Below are 18062 nucleotides of genomic sequence, written 5' to 3' on the forward strand. Positions count from 1 at the left end.
CCAGCCTGGGCAACAGAGCGAGACCTTGTCTCTAAAAAAAGAAAAAGAAAAAGAAACAAAGCTGATTTAAAAAATTGTGGGCATATTACAAACCTGCAATGTATGTGTGTGTGTGTGTGTGTGTGTGTCTGTGTGTGCATGTAAAGTACTTAGGACTTAGGACAGCACACTTAGTATTTAGCACATAATACCTAGCAATAGCTCAATGAATGGTAGCTTAACAACAATAACTAATGATATTACGACATGTTTATTTCATCACACCTTCACCATGAATAAATGTAGAGATCTAGGACCTAGTACCTCTTGCTTTCCCTTTGGTGCTGAAGCTTCACTCCACTGCTTCCCAAATCTATGTGTCCACCTAGAAATGGGTCATGGTTGCTGAATCGTAGAATAATAATACTGCAAAATTGCTAAATCTCTGAGGGGCGTGTGTGTGTATGTATGTGAGTGTCTGAGTGTGTGTGAGAGAGAGAGAGAGGGAGAGAGGGAGGGATATGGGGAAGGGAAGCAGTGCTTGTCTCTTTCTTCTTGCTAAAGACACTTCCTTAAAAATAAATACACTGGAAAATAATGACAGGAAACTTTACAAAATTAAAAGAGGATGTCAGGAAGTACAGGATGTGAGGTTGTTTTCATTTCTGTCAGTATTTTCTTATTCATATATATTTATAACTTTAAAAAGCAGAGAAGTTCACTATTTCTTCTACTTAAGATCAAATTTATATATAAAAAAAAGACCTGTGACCAAAAAAAAAAGAACCCACTTAATACTTTCTAGCTGCAATTAAGTATCTGATCTGACTACATTATTGGGCAACTGAATAGAATACTTGTCACACTCATTCTCTATTTCTAAAAAATGATGCAGGCCAGGCCCAATGACTCACACCTGTAATACCAGCAATTTGGGAGGCCGAGGTGGGAAGATTGCTTGAGGCCAGAAGTTAGAGACCAGCCTGGACAACAGAGTGAGACCCCATCTCTACAAAAATATTTGTTTAAAAATTAACAATAACAACAACAACAGCAGCAACAACAAAACGGTTGCATTCTCAGACAGTTCACGCCAATGTGGGAAGGATATAAAAGTAAAGTACCCTGAAGCAGCAATGGATAAGAAAAGCTTGGTCTTTTTTTAAAACAAAAATTTTTTTTATTATTACTTCTTTCCCAGAAGACAACTTTCAAACATAGGAACCTAGGCAAATCAACGAATGCTCAAAACTGAAAACCCACTTCCCCCTCTGAGAATAGAGGGTACAGAAATATCAGTACTTTCAATGCTTTAGCAGTCATGTGAATGGTGAGCATTCTATGTTTTTCCATATGCACAGCAAATGAGCACGCTGCTTGCAGCTTTTTCTCCATGAAATGGGGATCTGCATCCCATAGTAGTTACTGAGCAGTACAGTTCCTCTCCAACATTGAAACAGTTTATCTGCAAACAAATTTCTAAAGTTCCTATGTGGCTGGAAGCCAAAATAAAACAACTATGTTTTGCTGTCCTCTGCTTTGCTGAACAGATAGATGTAAAAGGTTGTAGGTGGGCTTCTCTTTATTACTGCACTTGACTTATTAACACCTTGAGACTCGAAGAATAAAGTGTACTTCATCTTGTAAAAGTTTATGATCTAAGTCAAACAATTCAAAAGGTCATAATTTAGCTCCATCTAAGGAACTTTAATTCAAAAAGACAGGAAGTTGCTTCATATTAAAAGTAGCCTCTTCTTTACTTCTTAATAAAATTCCCTAAGAAAATATTTATGGCAGACATATGTTATTTTCATCATTCCTTCCTTGGGGAAACCACTATTCCCTGCTTCCACATGGTTTCAGAGGGGCTGCCTATCACTGTACCCTACCCCCCTTCCAGCCACACTGGGAGCATAGGACACAGGCCTGGCCAACCCTAAAATTATCTGTTCCTGAAATTAAAATAGTGATGTTGAAATAGATATGTTTCTTTCCCCTGGGATGCTAAGCTAGGGCAAGAGATCCCAGAGCTTCCCTGTGCCATCTTCACCACCCTGCATGGAGGAGGTGGAGCAGGTCCAGCCGCAGAAGGAGAAAATGGCAGAGACAGAGGAGCAAAAGGAGAAGGAGGAGGAAGAGGAAAAGAGGGAGAATGGGGAGGAAAGAAAGAGGAAAAAGAAGGGGAAGAGTGGAAGGGGTAAGAAGAAGAAAAGAAGTGTAGTCTAACCTCCACAGAGCTATGATTGAAGCCAACTGATTCCTGAACCTCCTAGATACCTGACTCAACCAATTTCCTTCTCCATTCAAATTAGTTTTAATAATTCTGCAACGGAAACAGGAGGAACTAACAAAGTAGCTAGTGTTTGTTCATTCATTCAACAAATATGCCAGGCACTAAATAGGCATAGAGTCATGATGGGCAACATATAGTCCTTGCCCTCATTGAGCTTATAGCCTGGTTAGGGAAAAAAATATCACACACACACACACACACACACACACACACTCTATTGGAATATATGTATATATATTCAATTTTTTATGTTATCAGGAAAACAGTAGAGTGCTGTGAAATAGCATTAGAAGAGAATTAGGGAGCTATGTTTACAGTATCACTAGAATAATCACATTTAAAAAAAAGGAATGCGTGCATGGTGGTTTGGGAGTCCAGGTCTAACAATCTAAGAGATGAGGCAGCATGGGAGAAACAGAGAAAATGTCCTACCTGGTTAGGAGACCAGGATCCTCATCCTAGCTCCATCAAAAACTGCAGAGGTTTTCCTCATCAGCAAAGAGGTAATAGGTGTCTTTCATTATTTCTCCAGGGTTATAATGAAAATCAAATGATCACATACACCTGATTCACATTTGAAAAGAAGAGTACAGTATATGGTACTGTGGTAGGATACCAGGGTACATGTGGTAGGAAGACTAACAGGAGAACATGGTCTACCCAGTTCAGAAGGCTGGACATGTCCCACAGTCAGGTAGGAATTGAAGAGGAAGGCTGATGGCCCACTAATGGTGGATGAGAGAATTGCTTTGCATTTACAAAGGACATACGACATGCTCCTTATTTACTTATTTATTTTATCCTTTGGCGTGTTAATGAGTACATTTTAAATGAGACAACAGCTCTCAATGATGTTTAAGACAATAATTTTTAAAAACTACTTAAGGTATTTTTACTTATTGTTTCCCATATGGCTTTTGCGCCTTCTTTACAAGACATTTTAGGTCATTTTTAAACCAAAAAAAACAAAGACGGCACCCCCATTTCTCTAACTTTTGAAAATCCAATTATAAAAATAATACACTAATATTGTGAGATATTCAAATAGCATAGGAGGTTATACAGTGAAAAGTCCCTCTCATGATCACCCCTACCTACTCTCCTTTCCCAGAGATAACTAATCTTAACAGTTTTCTCCATTCTTTCACAACTTTATCTGCATATTGGAACTGAGTCTTGAAAACTGAGTAGTAGTAGCCATTTGGCCACTCACAAAGTTAAGGGTTTATTAAATTATATTAGAAAGTATTAATTGGCCTGCCAGTGAATGGGCACAGCAACTGGGTATTTAATGGGCAGCTCCAAACGGAAAGCCCTGGCTGTGCAGCACCCATCTATGGCTGGTATGGTTTCAATCTGTGTCTTTGCTCAAATTTCACGTTGAACTGTAATTCCCATTGTTGAAGATGGAGCTTGGTAGGAGGTGATTGGATCATGGGGCTGGTTTCTCATGGTTTAACACCATCCCTCTTGGTGCTGTTGTGGAGATAGTGAGTTCTCATGAGATGTGGCTGTTTAAAAGTGTGTAGCACCTCTTCCACTTCCTGCTGCTCCTGGCCATGTGAAGTGCTGGCTCCCCCTTCACCTTCCGCCATGATTGTAGTTTTCCTGAGGCCTCCCCAGAAGCCGAGCAGATACCGCCATGCTTCCCATACAGCCTGTGGAACCATGGACCAATTAAACCTCTTTTCTTTATAAATTACCCAGTGTCAAAAAAAAAAATACGTCACCCAGTGTCAGGTATTTCTTATAACAGTGCGAGGACAGACAAATACAATGGCCAAGCTTACCCCGAGGACAGTTAGGATGGTGTTTTTTGGTTTGTGCCTGGGTCCAAGGTCAAATAGCTGGTACCCTTTCAAAACCCACAAATCATTTACAATCTTGTGTTTGTTCTTTGTTCCATTGGTAGAATCATTTTGCTTCCATCTCTCTACCACAACTGGGTATTGAGGATGTCATTTGGCAAGTAGAGGCCCTAACCAAAAGGTCCTAAATAATAGCTGCATGGGTATCTTGTTATTAAACAATGAAGCTGCTCCAATGAGAAAGGCTGCATTATAAAACCATGTGGCTTTAGACACACTCACTGCCGCCCAAGGGGGAACCTATGCTATCATAAAAACTGAGTGTCTATCATCCAGATAACATCACTAAATTAATGGTTGATATAAAAACTCAACTAATCTTTCAGATCCAACACTCTAAATGACCAGCTAAGCAGCTGGTTTGGATCATGGGGAATTTGGTGGCAGAAGCTGGGACTTATTCTTGGAAACATAATCATTTGTTCGGTTTTTTCCTGTTTTTGTCTTTATTGCTGCTGTGGCATTTGTTCACAATGAAGTCAATGCAGAGCTGAAAAAAATGAAATAATGATTGTTCACAGAATTGCATTAACTGCAGCCACGTAGCCTGACTCAGGTCACAAAGTCACTTCCTTCATTTTGCATTAAATTTGGCCAGGCTGGGTGTGGTGGCTCAAGCCCATAATCCCAGCACTTTGGGAGGCTGAGGGGGGTGGATCATGAAGTCAGGAGTTCGAGACCAGCCTGGCCAACCTGGTGAAACTCCGTCTCTACTAAAAATACAAAAAATAGCCAGGCGTGGTGGTGCACACCTGTAGTCCCAGCTACTTGGGAGGCTGAGGCAGAAGAATCACTTGAACCGAGGAGGCAGAGGTTGCAGTGAGCTGAGATCGTGCCACTGTACTCCAGCCTGGGTGACAGAGCAAGACTCCATCTCAAAAAAAAAAAAAAATTGGCCAATATCCCATCAGCCTTATAGCTTGACTTATTTCCCCTGCTGTGGGACTCGACACTGTCGGAATGAGCCTTCCTAGTGACGCAGGACTAAACTCCTGAATATAAAAGGAGCCCAGAGCTGTTGAGTACATCTACTATGCTTTACTCGAAATATCTTAATGAAAATGGAGAAATGTGAAATTAAATAATTCAAACTTAAAGCTGTTAGAATTTTAAAGTATTCCAGCCTTAAGAGGAATACGGCTATGTGGCTTGAGTCACTTGATGTACAACTGCAACTTCTGCCTTTTTTTTTTTCCCTGTAAATCATTAAGAAGACCAAATGGCACCAGAGATAAGAACCCCCCACCCCCACCCCCCAAGATTACTACCTCTCCTCATAGAATGAAGCAAATGTAGCATTTTGTAACCAATCAAATCACTGTACTGTATGCACTTGTCTTGTATGGAAAATGTTGTGATTCTGCTAAAATTTCTGTCTCTGCTTATATAAGCGAAACATTAACTTCTCCTCTTTGAAACACTGACCCCATTTGTTTGGAGTAAGTGTTTCCTGGTGGCAAGCTTTGTGCTTGAATAAGCTCTATACTTAATCATATTTTCTGAATCTCATTACTTAAAGTTGACAGGTTGTTTCTACAAGTGGAGGAACAACATGAGCATGCACTGTCATGATGATTGATTTCTAGTCCACAAGTATACAGTCTTCAAATTAAGTATAATTTGGCCTGAAATCACATTGTCCATTAGTAAAATATTCCATTGTATTCATTTGAGGAGCTTTCTCTCCTCCATGGGTCAAAACAAGCATCCCAGGATTATGTTCATCCCCAAAAATAGGATAGAGGTGTGAGTTTGCTTAATTGGCTACTTGCTGCTCCCTGACACAGGTCCCTGTCCTCTTCCATGTGGACTATGTGCCCTGGGTAGGCTCAGCGGTCCTCTCTACTGATCACAGGCTGACTGTGCCTCCACCTGCAGCAGCGTGCCATAGAATTCTCTTCCATTGGTCTCGCTTTAGCCTTAACTTGGAAAGAACCCTTCCTTACTTCCCTCCCTGCCTGGAAGATCCCACAGTGCTGGCCTTTTCTGAAAAAAGATGCTCATCTTTGTTTTTTAATTGCTTCATAGTTCACCTTTTTATAAAAGGGAAAGCAAAGAGGCATTAAACAGCGTGACTCACTGGGAAAGCTAGTATTTCAGCCAGACAGAAGAGTTCATTGGAGGATGGGAAGTTCAGAGGAATATGGCTGGGGGGATGAACACCTGATTAGAAGGGTTTGTAGGGTATTAGAATAAGTTTGTATTTATCTAGGCATTGAGGAAACCGGGGTCATTCAAGGCTTTACACAGAACAGTAGCAAAATTAGATTTTCCTTTGAAAAGGAAACTCTGATGCTGGTAGGGAGAGTGGTTGAAGGGGAGCAAGGCTGGAAGCAGTGATACCAGTTAGGAGACCATGGCAGTAGTTCAAGAAAGAGATGTTGTGAACCTAGTGCCTTAATCCTCTGCTGAATCTGAGAGTCTCCTCTCCATTGGCCTGTGACTAGGACCATAGGCCAATCTCCTACTATAAAAGATAAAAAGGCTGATACAAACATTTCTAGGCTTGCTTGCAGCTTGAGTTAAGACTTAATAAGGTGATATTACAATTCATTCTGGCAGTGCTGGCAGAGGAAACAGCAGCAATGATGCTCTGCGAGCCTGACTCAGGGCCAGCAGTGATGGCAGCCCAAGGTAAGTATATCCAGGGGCTGCTGGTGGCAGCAGCAGTGTCTTTGATGCAGTGGTTCAATATGTTGTATTTGGCTCTGGTTCTGGTTACCTGAACTTCCTTTGCTCTTGCCCATTTTCTGAGCCTGAGTCTTCAGGTCTCTAATTTATTTTCATCAGATCTTTAAAATAATCCTCTGAGGAATTAAGGCAGGTGTTATTATTTTCATTAAGATGAGGGAAATGAAACTACAAGGTTAGGTTACTTGCTTAAGAGCAAAAGCTAGTAAGTGGAACACCCAGGGTTGGATCCAACCAAATCTTTGTGATGGTCGCAGTACTCTTTACACTCCCCACTTGCTTACCAAACTTGGTACTCCTAATACCTGGCATATACAGGAAAATGAAAGGAAGGGCTAGAAGCTATTGCTTACACTTGGCACAGGCTCTAAAGTTATGTAGAAGTCTTATTAAAATTAAGTTATTTAAAGCAATATATAATGGAGTAAAATACAAGATCTAGGTATAATTAGTAATTTAAATAAATTTTACCTTTGTAGGAGGTGAGCATCTAGATTCCCCAGGAATACAAAATCATTAATCTTTGTAATGTGTACCCCGGTAAAAATATATGAGAAGTCCTGAAATGAAACATTAGCCAATCCTTAGGCTAGTGTTCCAATTAGCTAAATATCCCCGTTTAATTTAGTAAAACCAGTATTTAACCCCACATATGTGATTTATGAGTTTATATATAATAGCCTTATCCATTTATGTTCTTAAAGCCTGGAAGTCCAGAACATCTTAACAATTGTGCAACAAAATTTGACTAAAGATTGGTAGAGCTATGGATGCTAACTAATGCTGCTACAAATATATAAAATACTCTGTTAAATACCTTATTGAAAAAGAGATTAAATGTAAGATGTCTTTTCCATACTGCATGTTATGTTGAAATGACTATTTTGTCATCTGGAGAGAATTATATGCAATGATTTCATAGTGAGGAAACAAACTCATGATTCAATGAAAGGGTAAGGTAGATGTGAATCATAATCACTTTAAATTATAGTTATTAAAATTCTATAAATTTAAAACACTTTAGTTCTATAAAGCTTGGGCAATGAGTCCATTCCAAGCAGCATTGACCAATAGTATTATTTTCAGGATGTTTTAAGTATACCAGGTTACATCTGACCATAAAATGTTTCTCTATTACATGTGCCCATTTATTTGTTCTACTATTCATTCAGGAACTATGCTGAGTCTCAAGGCAAAGATAAATACCACAGGCTGGGCATGGTGGCTCACGCCTGTAATCCTAGCACTTTGGGAGGCTGAGGTAGGAGGATTGCTTGAGGCCAGGAGTTTGAGGCCAGCCTAAACAATATAGTGAGACCCTTGTCAATACAAAACATTTTAAAAAATTAATCAGGTATGGTGGTGTGTGCCTGTAGTCCCAGCTACTCAGGAGGGATGCTGAGGAGGGAGGATCCCTTGAGCACAGGAGGTCGAGGCTGCAGTGAGCCATGCACTCCAGCCTAGGTGACAGAGACTTTGTGTCTAAAAAAGTTAATAATAATAATAAATACCACAGTGATGTGTAAATAAGGAATTATGTGGTGATATATAACAATAGAAGTATGTATGAGGCAAAAGGAAGAATCTGAAAATAAACCCGGCCTATAGTCTTCACTGAGGTGTTGATTCTTTCTTAAACTGCATCTTGAAGGATGAATATGAGGATAACAGTGGACATGTAGGAAGGGTGAGCAGAGGATAATAGTTTAGACAGAGGGAGCTACACGTGTAAAGACATGGAGGCATGAAATAGCTTAAGTTAAAAGAATTGCAAGTGTTTTTGTGTTTATAGAAGCTAACGTTGAAAAGTTATGGTGGGAGATGAAGCTAGGCAAAGAGGGGACAGATCATGAAGGATCTTCAATAATCCTGTAAGTCCCATTACTGGGTATATACCCAAAGGAAAATAAATCATTGTACTGAAAAAGACACCTGCACTTGTTATGTTCATTGTAGTGCTAGTCACAGTAGCAAATACATAAAATCAACCCAGGTGCCCATGAACAATGAATTGGATACAGAAAATGTGGTATATCTACACCATGGAGTATTATACAGCCATAGAAAAGAATACAGTCGTGTTCTTTGCAGCAACATGGATGCAAAAATTCTAAGCAAATTAACTCAGGAACAGAAAACCAAATACTGTATATCCTCACTTACAAATGAAAGCTAAACATTGGGTACACAAGGACACAAAGAAGGGACAATAAACACTGGGGATTCCAAAAGTGGGGAGGTATGGGGAGAGACAAGGGTTGAAAAACTACTTATCCAGTACTACATTCACTACTTGGGCAATAGGATCATTAGAAGCCCAAACCTCAGCATCACGCAATATACCCATCTAACAAATCTGCACATGTACCCCCAAATCTAAAAGAAAAAAGAAAAAAAAGAGGCCAGGCGTGGTGGCTCACTCCTATAATCCCAGTACTTTGGGAGGCTGAGGCGGACGGATCACAAGGTCAGGAGTTCAAGACAAGCCTGGCCAATATGGTGAAACCCCGTCTCTACTAAAAATACAAAAATTAGCCAGGTGTGATGGCAGGTGCCTGTAGTCCCAGCTACTCAGGAGGCTGAGGTAGGAGAATCACTTGAACCCGGGAGGCAGAGGTTGCAGTGAGCTGAGATCACACCACTACACTCCAGGCTGGGTGACAGAGCAAGACTCCGTCTCAAAAAAAAAAAAAAAAAAAGAAAATAATCATCATCATACTATATGGGCATGATTTAATGGACATGAAAACGATAGCAAAGAGTTTTAGACTAAAGCATAGCAAGAGAATATTTACCCTTTGGAAAAATGACTCTGAAGGTAGTATGGAGAAAAATTTTGAAGAGAAAAGATACAGAGTATAGGTTAGAATTAACAAAGACATGTAAATAGAAATGAAAAGATGAGAAAATATGTGAGAAATATCTAGGTAATAGAACCACAGAAATTAAAAATAAATTGGATGTGAAGGGTAACGTGAGGACTTAGACAACTGGGTGATCATCAAGCCAAAAACCAAAATAGGAAATACAGAAAGAACACATTTAGTGGAAATTAAATATAAGCTCAGTTTCAACAAGATGTCATTTGAGTTGTCAGTGAATTAGGCGGGTAGTACAGGCAATGGTGTACATAGAAGAGGCCAGGGCTGGCTATACTAATTTAAGTCATTGATTACACAGTGGTAATGACAACTATGAGAGTGAATGAGATTGCCCAATAGGAAAAGGAAATGCTGAAGAAGTGTTGCATGTATGTGTGGAGTTTCATTGGTAGCTCTCACATCTTTGTCAATAATAATTATTGGCAAGTTTTCTCATTCATGCCTAGGAAGGTGCATCATGATGTGGTAGAAGGAATGATGGACTGGAAAGCAGGAGACAGCCTGCAATCCTGGTCTCTTGGAAGTCCTTGCATGTCGTTGGGCAAGTCATTTAACCATTCTCTTCCTCGGTTACTTTACCTGTGAAATAAGATTGGATTAGATGAGTTCTAACACTCTGTGATTCTTCAACCAATTCTCCAAATCTCATGATTTTCATTTCTCCCTAATGGGCTCTGATGAAGCTGCCAATGAAACCTGAAATAACTGGGAAATAGGCATTGAGAGAGAAATATGGCCTAGGAAGAGTCACACACCTTATAATTTTTCCCTAAATAATGGAAACCTGACTTTGAAAATAATTTTGCTGTAATTTAGGAGCAGTTATTGTAGACTATTATGAAAATGTAGGGCTTTTTATTGAAAGGGAATGATAGTTGGTCACAAATATTTGGGTTTGGATTGAATGGCCTTTTGCCTCCAAATTTTTGGAAAATAACTAAGATTGACCCATTTAAAAGCCACCCACTTACAGCTTCAGTGCAGTAGAAATTATGTAATAGATCTGATCATATTTGTCCCTTCTGGCCAATTATGACAGCCTACAAGTAATGCAGGAATGGAAAACATTTTTGGTAATTATATTGCATTAAAATTGTATGTCATTATGAGAGTAGGCAGTTAAGATAATTGTGCAGGAAGATGTTGCAGATAGATGGCCTCCTAGGTGCTGAGCTGGCCCCAAACTAAATACGTGAAAATGTTTTCCTTCAGGTTCCTGAAAATGTGAAGTACATTGGGCTGTGAGCACCAAGGAATCAAAGACTGTAGTTTCAACTGACAAAGCAAACATCTGTGAAAGATACACACTAGCTGTGTTGTAGTAAATGAATGGAACAGTTTTTGTGAAATTATGTCGTAGTTTTGATTGAGCTCCAGTCTGGCAGTGCCCTTACACTTAGCCTCTCTGACTTAGAATTATTCTTTGACTGTCAGGAAGAATATCTTTATTGTGAGAAGCCCTGAGCACACTGTGGCTTACAGCAATCAGGGCACCAAAAACTTCAGAACATAGAACTTTGCACTGCAAAGATAAACCTGGACCAAAAGGAGTATGATTTGTTAAACCTAATCAGAGTTTGTGGAAATATTTAAAAATCAAGAGAAAAATAAAAGGACAGACAGTTAATAAGCAGATATTAAGACGTATGAAATGACAACAACTAATTAAAAGATAGAATCGAAAGACTACAAAAGCCATAAAAACAGTATAACATCTAGGAATAAGCATAACAAGAAATGTACAAGACCTACAGGAAAAAAACTTTAAAATGTTACTACAAGATGTGAAAGATGATTTTGGACAAATGAAAGGCTCTATCTTGGAAAGAGATCCAATACATTATTAAGCGAAATAAGCGACAGAACAGTATGTAAAGCATCCTACTTTTCATATAAAAACGAGGAGAAAGTAAGAATCTACATTTGTATTTACTGGTGTATAAAGAAAATCTGGAAAAATATATAAGAAATTACCTATGAGGGGTGTGGGAAATTAGCAGCTAAGAGACCAAAATGGGAGATTGAATTTGCACACTGATTATCCAGAGCACTTCCTTGTTTGATTTTACAGCTACAGCAATCCATGATATGGTTGTGTTATAATTTGTTTAATTCAGACTTCTGTTGATAATATTTAGGTTGTTTCCAGTCATTTGCTAGTATAATCAATCCTGCAGTTAATCATATAAATGTTACCTCTTCAGAAAATTGATTTTAAACATAAGTAAAACTTTCAATAACAACAACAACAAATCCAGAGATAAAAAGCAGATACTTTCAAATGAAAGCTCTCACTCAAGTATAGACAGTAAAGGTGAAAATATGAATGAGGCCGGGCGCGGTGGCTCACGCCTGTAATCCCAGCACTTTGGGAGGCCGAGGCGGGTGGATCATGAGGTCAGGAGATCGAGACCATCCTGGCTAACAAGGTGAAACCCCGTCTCTACTAAAAATACAAAAAATTAGCCGGGCGCGGTGGCGGGCGCCTGTAGTCCCAGCTACTGGGGAGGCTGAGGCAAGAGAATGGCGTGAACCCGGGAAGCGGAGCTTGCAGTGAGCCGAGATTGCGCCACTGCAGTCCGCAGTCCGGCCTGGGCGACAGAGCAAGACTCCGTCTCAAAAAAAAAAAAAAAAAAAAAGAAAGAAAGAAAATATGAATGATATTGCCCTGGTGCCGTGGCTCACACCTGTAATCCAAACACTTTGGGAAGCCGAGAACGGAGGATCACTTGAACCCAGGAGTTTGAAACCAGCCTGGGCAACATAGTGAGACTCCATCTCTGTTAAAAAAAATAATAAAATATAAATTAATTAATTAATTAAAATATAAACAATATAAACAGTGGAAGTCTTAGACATGGCCAAGTCCAAGGCCAGGCATGGTGGCTCAAACCTGTAATCCCAGCAATTTGGGAGGCTGAAGTGGGCGGATCATTTGAGGTAAGGAGTTCGAGACCACCCTGGCCAATATGGCAAAACCCAACCTCTACTAAAAATACAAAAATTAGCCAGGTGTGTTGGCTCACACCTGTAGTCCCAGGTACTTGGGAGGCTGAGGCAGGAGAATTGCTTGAACCTAGGAGGTGGAGGTTGCAGTGAGCTGAGATCACACCATTGCACTCCAACCTAGGAGACAGAGTGAGACTGTATCAAAAATTGAAGAAAAAAAAAAGAAGTGCCCAAGTCCAAGATGGTTAGACATCCTTACTCTCCTTCCCATCCCCACATCACAATCCGAATGCATGCTTCTGGGGCTCCAGCTGTCTTGCTTTTGTATGAAGAAGCATTCAGACCAGATGCAGTAGTTCATGTCTGTAATCTCAGCGCTTTCAGGGGCCAAGACGAAAGGATCTGAGGTGGGAGAGTCACTTGAGGCCAGGAATTGGAGACCAGCCTGAGCAACATAGTAAGACTTTGTCTCCAAAAAACACTTTTTTTTTTTTTTTTAAAGCTGGGTGTGGTAGCATGTGCCTATAGTCTTAGCTACTCAGGAACCTAATGGGAGAGAATCACTTGAGCCCAGGAGTGTGAGGCTACCGTGAGCTATGATTGTGCCACTGCACTCCAGCCTGGGTGATAAAACAAGACCCTTTTACTTAAGAAAAAGAAGCAGCAGCAGCATCTGTATATCACCCATGCTCCATGCATTGGAAAGCCTTCTGTGTAGATGTAGAATCATGCCAAATGATTTTATCCATGCAAATAGGTACAGGTATAGGGATCAAAAGTTGTCCTAGTTAATCAATTATCATTAGTCCCACAGTGTTTTCTGTCACAGATGTTACTTTTCTGGAGTGGTAGGTGTGGCAAGGTAATTCATTAAAATATGAATTTGTGTTGGTTCTCTCTATAGTTTTAACCTCCTCAATTCTGGTGAGATAAGTCAGTTTTTGTCTCCTTGTCTCAGAGGTGATTTGTAACTGAGCAGAAAGTAGGAGCTTCCTGAAGAAAGGCACTCCATTTGATTTGTAAAAACCTCAACTCATAGAAGAGATGGTAATACATGATCTGAATGAAGGAGAGTGCCTTTAAAAGTGGCAAGATGGGAAAAGGGTTAACTTCTCCAGTCTGGGCAGTCTATAGATTTTTGGAGAAGCAGGGACCCACTTCTGGTCCCTAGGCAAGGTCTCTGAGAGAATCACTGCATGACTTTTGAGCTCCAAGCACCAGGATCCCAACCCTGGTCACTTTCCATTTCCAATGAGAGGCCCAAGATCAATTTGTTACTGGATTTCTAGGAACCATTCAACAATAAGTATATCTGCAATAACCTCCATGGACTGGAGGTTAGAGTTGTTTACTCTTTAAATCAGTTAGAAATGTTTTTAACTGCAAACAATAAAAAAAATTTTAAACCAACATACGGTGGCTTAAACAAACAGGATGTTTCTTTTTCTCTCACAACAGAATTCTGGAGGAAAGTGGCTCTGGGAATTGAACAGTGGCTCAGTGATGTTGGGGCCACCAAGTCTGCAATTCTCCCTACCTGTTCTTCATGGTTGTAAGATGACTGCTGCAATTCTCGGCATCATGTGCATGTTAATGTCAGGAGGAAGAAAGGAAGAGGGAGCACTGGGATGTTACATTCATTTTGTCAGGAAAAGCAAAGCCTTTCCAGACAGCTCCGAAACTTGCTTACCTCTCATTGGCCAGCACCATCACTTGACCACTTGTCCACTCCTAGCTGCAAGGAAAGTGGCAAAGTAGAAGGTATTTGAGAATGTCTGCTGGGTTAGCCAAAACAATAGTGACTTCTACACCCAATTTTCTGGGCACTGCAGAAGTATCCTTGAGTCCTATGTGATCAGAGGGAGAGCAAACCTCAATAATGAAACAGATTCAATTTCCATCACCCAGTGAGACACCATGGGATTAGAATAAATTTTTAAAAAAACAAATTGAAAAAAATGCATTTTTAAAACAACAAAATCAGAAAGGATGAAAGGTGATATTTCTAGCATATCAGTTTGTGGTGGTAAATTAATTACCTTATACAAAGGCCTCAGTGACTTTCTTCTCCTTACCTAACGAATCATCTTTAAAATAAGTAAAATAAAGAAACAAGAGCAGCAGCAGATGCTTCCTAAAAAGAAGTTACCAAATCTGTTCACCACAAACCTGAGAATTCAACTGTGGACATTTGGACACCAGCAATGAACATGAAACTCAGCTTATGAGGCATATTTGGCTAAAGGTCAAGGTGACTTAAAGTTCATCATAGGACATCTACAATTTGCAAAGCAGGTGACTGGATATGGACTCCTTCCAAGTCTCATTTAATTGGATAATGCCTACGTTTTAAGTATCAGAAGTGAGTCTTTCTCTATTAAATGAAGTCAGTTCCACTAAAACCTAAATCTTGTTTGGCAGGCACTCCATGTTTCTTAATTTTTATTCCATGCTGTATATTCTTTTAGACTTGATTTTCACTTTTTTTTCTTTTTTCCTGTACATTTATCTTTGCTGTGAAACAAAGTGCCCTGCTTTGAAGGACAGGTTTGTGGGCTGCTGGTGGTGAGACAACAGCAGTCCTTCCAAGTCTTCCTCCCATCACTCTGTTAGCTCTCCCTTTGTTTTTAATTAGCATTACACCAGTTAATTCTGTTATCTCTTAACCCTGGTTCTGCATCCTCTTCTTCTTTTCTATTCCTTACTCCGCTCCTGTTTTTTCTTGTTCTGCTTTTCCAAGAAATGTCTTGTCTCCTCATCAGTTGACTGTCTTCTCTTTCCAGAGGGACCATAAAGGTGCCAGCCTAAGGAACACGTAAAACGTGGGAACAGACAAACAAGCTGCTGCCTATTACAGAGATAGATAATTAACTTTGGACCATTACATGCAATTCATCAGCTTATCTTTTTCAAACTTTATATAAGAAGTCATTTCCCAATGGTAACCACTTGCCAGCTGCAACTTTGACGCATATTATCAGGATAGGTGAGATTGATGGGGGCCCTTTGAACTCTTCCCAGGGAATTATCTTTATAATGTTACAGTTTTCTCTATAGCATGGTCATATTGTTAACATTGGTTATAAGGTCATATGGTTAGTATGGTTAGTATTGGTGGCTCACAGCTGTAATACCAGCACTTTGGGAGGCCAAGGTGGGAGGATCACTTGAGCCCTGGTGTTCAAAACCAGCTCTGGAAACATAGCAAGACCTTGTCTCTACAAAAAAAAATTAAATAAATTAAAAGATTAGCTGGGCATGGTGGCACATGCCTGTAGTCCTCACTACTTGGGAAACTAAGGTGGGAGGATCCTTTGAGCTTGGGAGGTTGAGGCTGCAGTGAGCTGTGGTTGTGCCATGGCACTCCAGCCTGGGTGACAGAGTGAGAGCCTGTCTCAAAAAAAAAAAAAAAAAAAAAAAAAAGTACCTGTAAGGTCTTTGGGATTTTGAAGATGAAAGGTGTTGCATAAATTGAATGAATTCACTTAGAGAGATAGAAGGCAACTACAGGGAATATTACGTACATCATGGAGCGGAAAGCACTAAGGCCTGTGGAATTATTCTCAGTGACACGTCGTTGAGGGCAGTGGTCCACATGTTTTGAACATGGTTTCTCCCAGGTGAAAAGGATGAGTAATTTGTTCTCCTTCACATGTGTGTATGTAGGTCTTATACACAGCAGATTTGCCACAAAACAAATGAAGATTACACTTTGGGCCCCTCTCTCACATGAGCCCCTTCCAAAGTTCTGTTTGCTAATTTTACATTTTGTAATTTCTTATTATTTTTCTTAAAGAAGCCTCCTCCAATTGCATAAACTTCAAGCCTCACAAAATTTGGATCCATACCTGAGCCAACATACAATACAATTTTCCATTTCTAACTTTTAGTTGTACCTAGTGTTTTATTGGAAATGATCAAGTACATGAGTGGTGTCTTTTTAAAAAATTTACTTTATTTGCTTCTCTAGCTTCATCGTTAGTTAGGCAGTTAAATCTAACCATTTGGAGGTATTTTCATATAACCTCCATTGAGGACAATTTGGCAATAGCTTTTAAAATTATAAATATATTTGTACAGTTATAAGCTGCCATATCTATAAAACTATTTGATAGACAAAAGTTGAAAACCCTCCAAGAGCTCATCAATAAAAGATTAAATTAATTATGATACATCCATATGAGCACTGAGCAGCTGTGAAAAAAATGAGGAAGTAATTCCTGTGCTGATATGGGAAGACTTCCAAGACATGTTGTTAAGTACAGAATGGTGTATACAGTATGCTATATAGTGTGGTAAAAGGTTTAGGGATAAGCATTTATATTTATAACTGTTTATATTTACATAAAGTAATTCTGAAAGGATACAAAAAAGCTAACAAAAGAGATTACCTGTGGTAGTGTGGGGCTTGGGGATTGGATGGGTGAGAAACAGTAGTGGAAATGAGATATTGTACAGTTTAAGGCATTATACACCTATAAAAACATGGGAATGTATTACCTACTCAAAAAGTGAAATTAAGAGAGATACAAGAAACTGTTTGGATGTTCCTTCCCGTTTCAATGTATCTATATTTTTTCAGCCCTCAAAGTTATTATAAATGTCATTATAATAACTTCATAAAGCTTCCCCTATAATGAGAATCTTACCATTCTCCTAACTCCAATAGCACTGTAATCCACCTCTGTTAGGACACATCACTCTTCATCATGTGTGATTATTATTTGCAGATATCATCTTCAAGGCTCTTCTCTATTTACCACCTGCCATTCTTGTTCTCACCTCTACATGACCTTCACATTTTATTTCTCTCGGTTTTTTGGACAAGCTACATTCCCTTCCACAGAGAAGGCTTCCCTGACCCCTTTCACTTGGTTGGATTACCTTGCTATTCTTTTCTATCTTTGTACATTCCTTTTCAAAATACTTATCTCCCTTGTTGTTACCTATAATGTCTGTCTTCTTTACTCAAGAGTCTAGACAAAAAGCTCCACGCCAGCCTCGGCTGTGTTTGTATTGTTTACGTCTGTGTTCCTAGTGCTTAATAAAATACCTAGCAAGGGTTAATAAGTACTTGTTGACTGGAAGGGAATGACTTCCTTCCCTTACTAGAGAGTGATTTCCTTACAGGCGAGATGTGTCAACCTTCTATAGCCCACATAAAATAAAGGACAATATCTCCTATTGGATAAAAGACAAGAATTTACATATGAGTTTTGTCATTTACCATACCAGCTCTGGGATCTTAACTTTTTAGCCTCTCTGGGCTTCAGAGCTCTCATCTACATTAAGTTTTTCATTCATTCTGTCATTCAATAAATATTTATGGAATGCTTAGCATGTGCCACTAGTCTAGCAACTGTGGATACTGAAGTACGCAAGGCAGAATAGTACTTGCTA

At 39.5% G+C, this 18062-nt stretch overlaps 1 long non-coding RNA gene across 6 annotated transcripts in view; it reads left to right on the forward strand.

Moving 5' to 3' along the window:
• LINC01094 (long intergenic non-protein coding RNA 1094) overlaps positions 1 to 17861 on the forward strand; it is a 38508-nt gene extending 20647 nt beyond the window's left edge. For 4 of the 6 annotated variants that reach the window (NR_038304.1, NR_038306.1, NR_038307.1 and 1 more), the window contains one exon: positions 14121 to 17861. This is a non-coding gene — a long non-coding RNA (long intergenic non-protein coding RNA 1094). Of the gene's footprint in view, positions 1 to 6702; positions 6775 to 14120 lie in introns of all 6 variants that reach the window. The other 2 variants (NR_038303.1, NR_038305.1) reach the window with 1 other exon arrangement.
• The last annotated feature ends 201 nt before the right edge of the window (positions 17862 to 18062 follow it).

Source organism: Homo sapiens, chromosome 4 (genome assembly GCF_000001405.40).
Source record: "Homo sapiens chromosome 4, GRCh38.p14 Primary Assembly".
Lineage (NCBI taxonomy): Eukaryota > Metazoa > Chordata > Mammalia > Primates > Hominidae > Homo > Homo sapiens.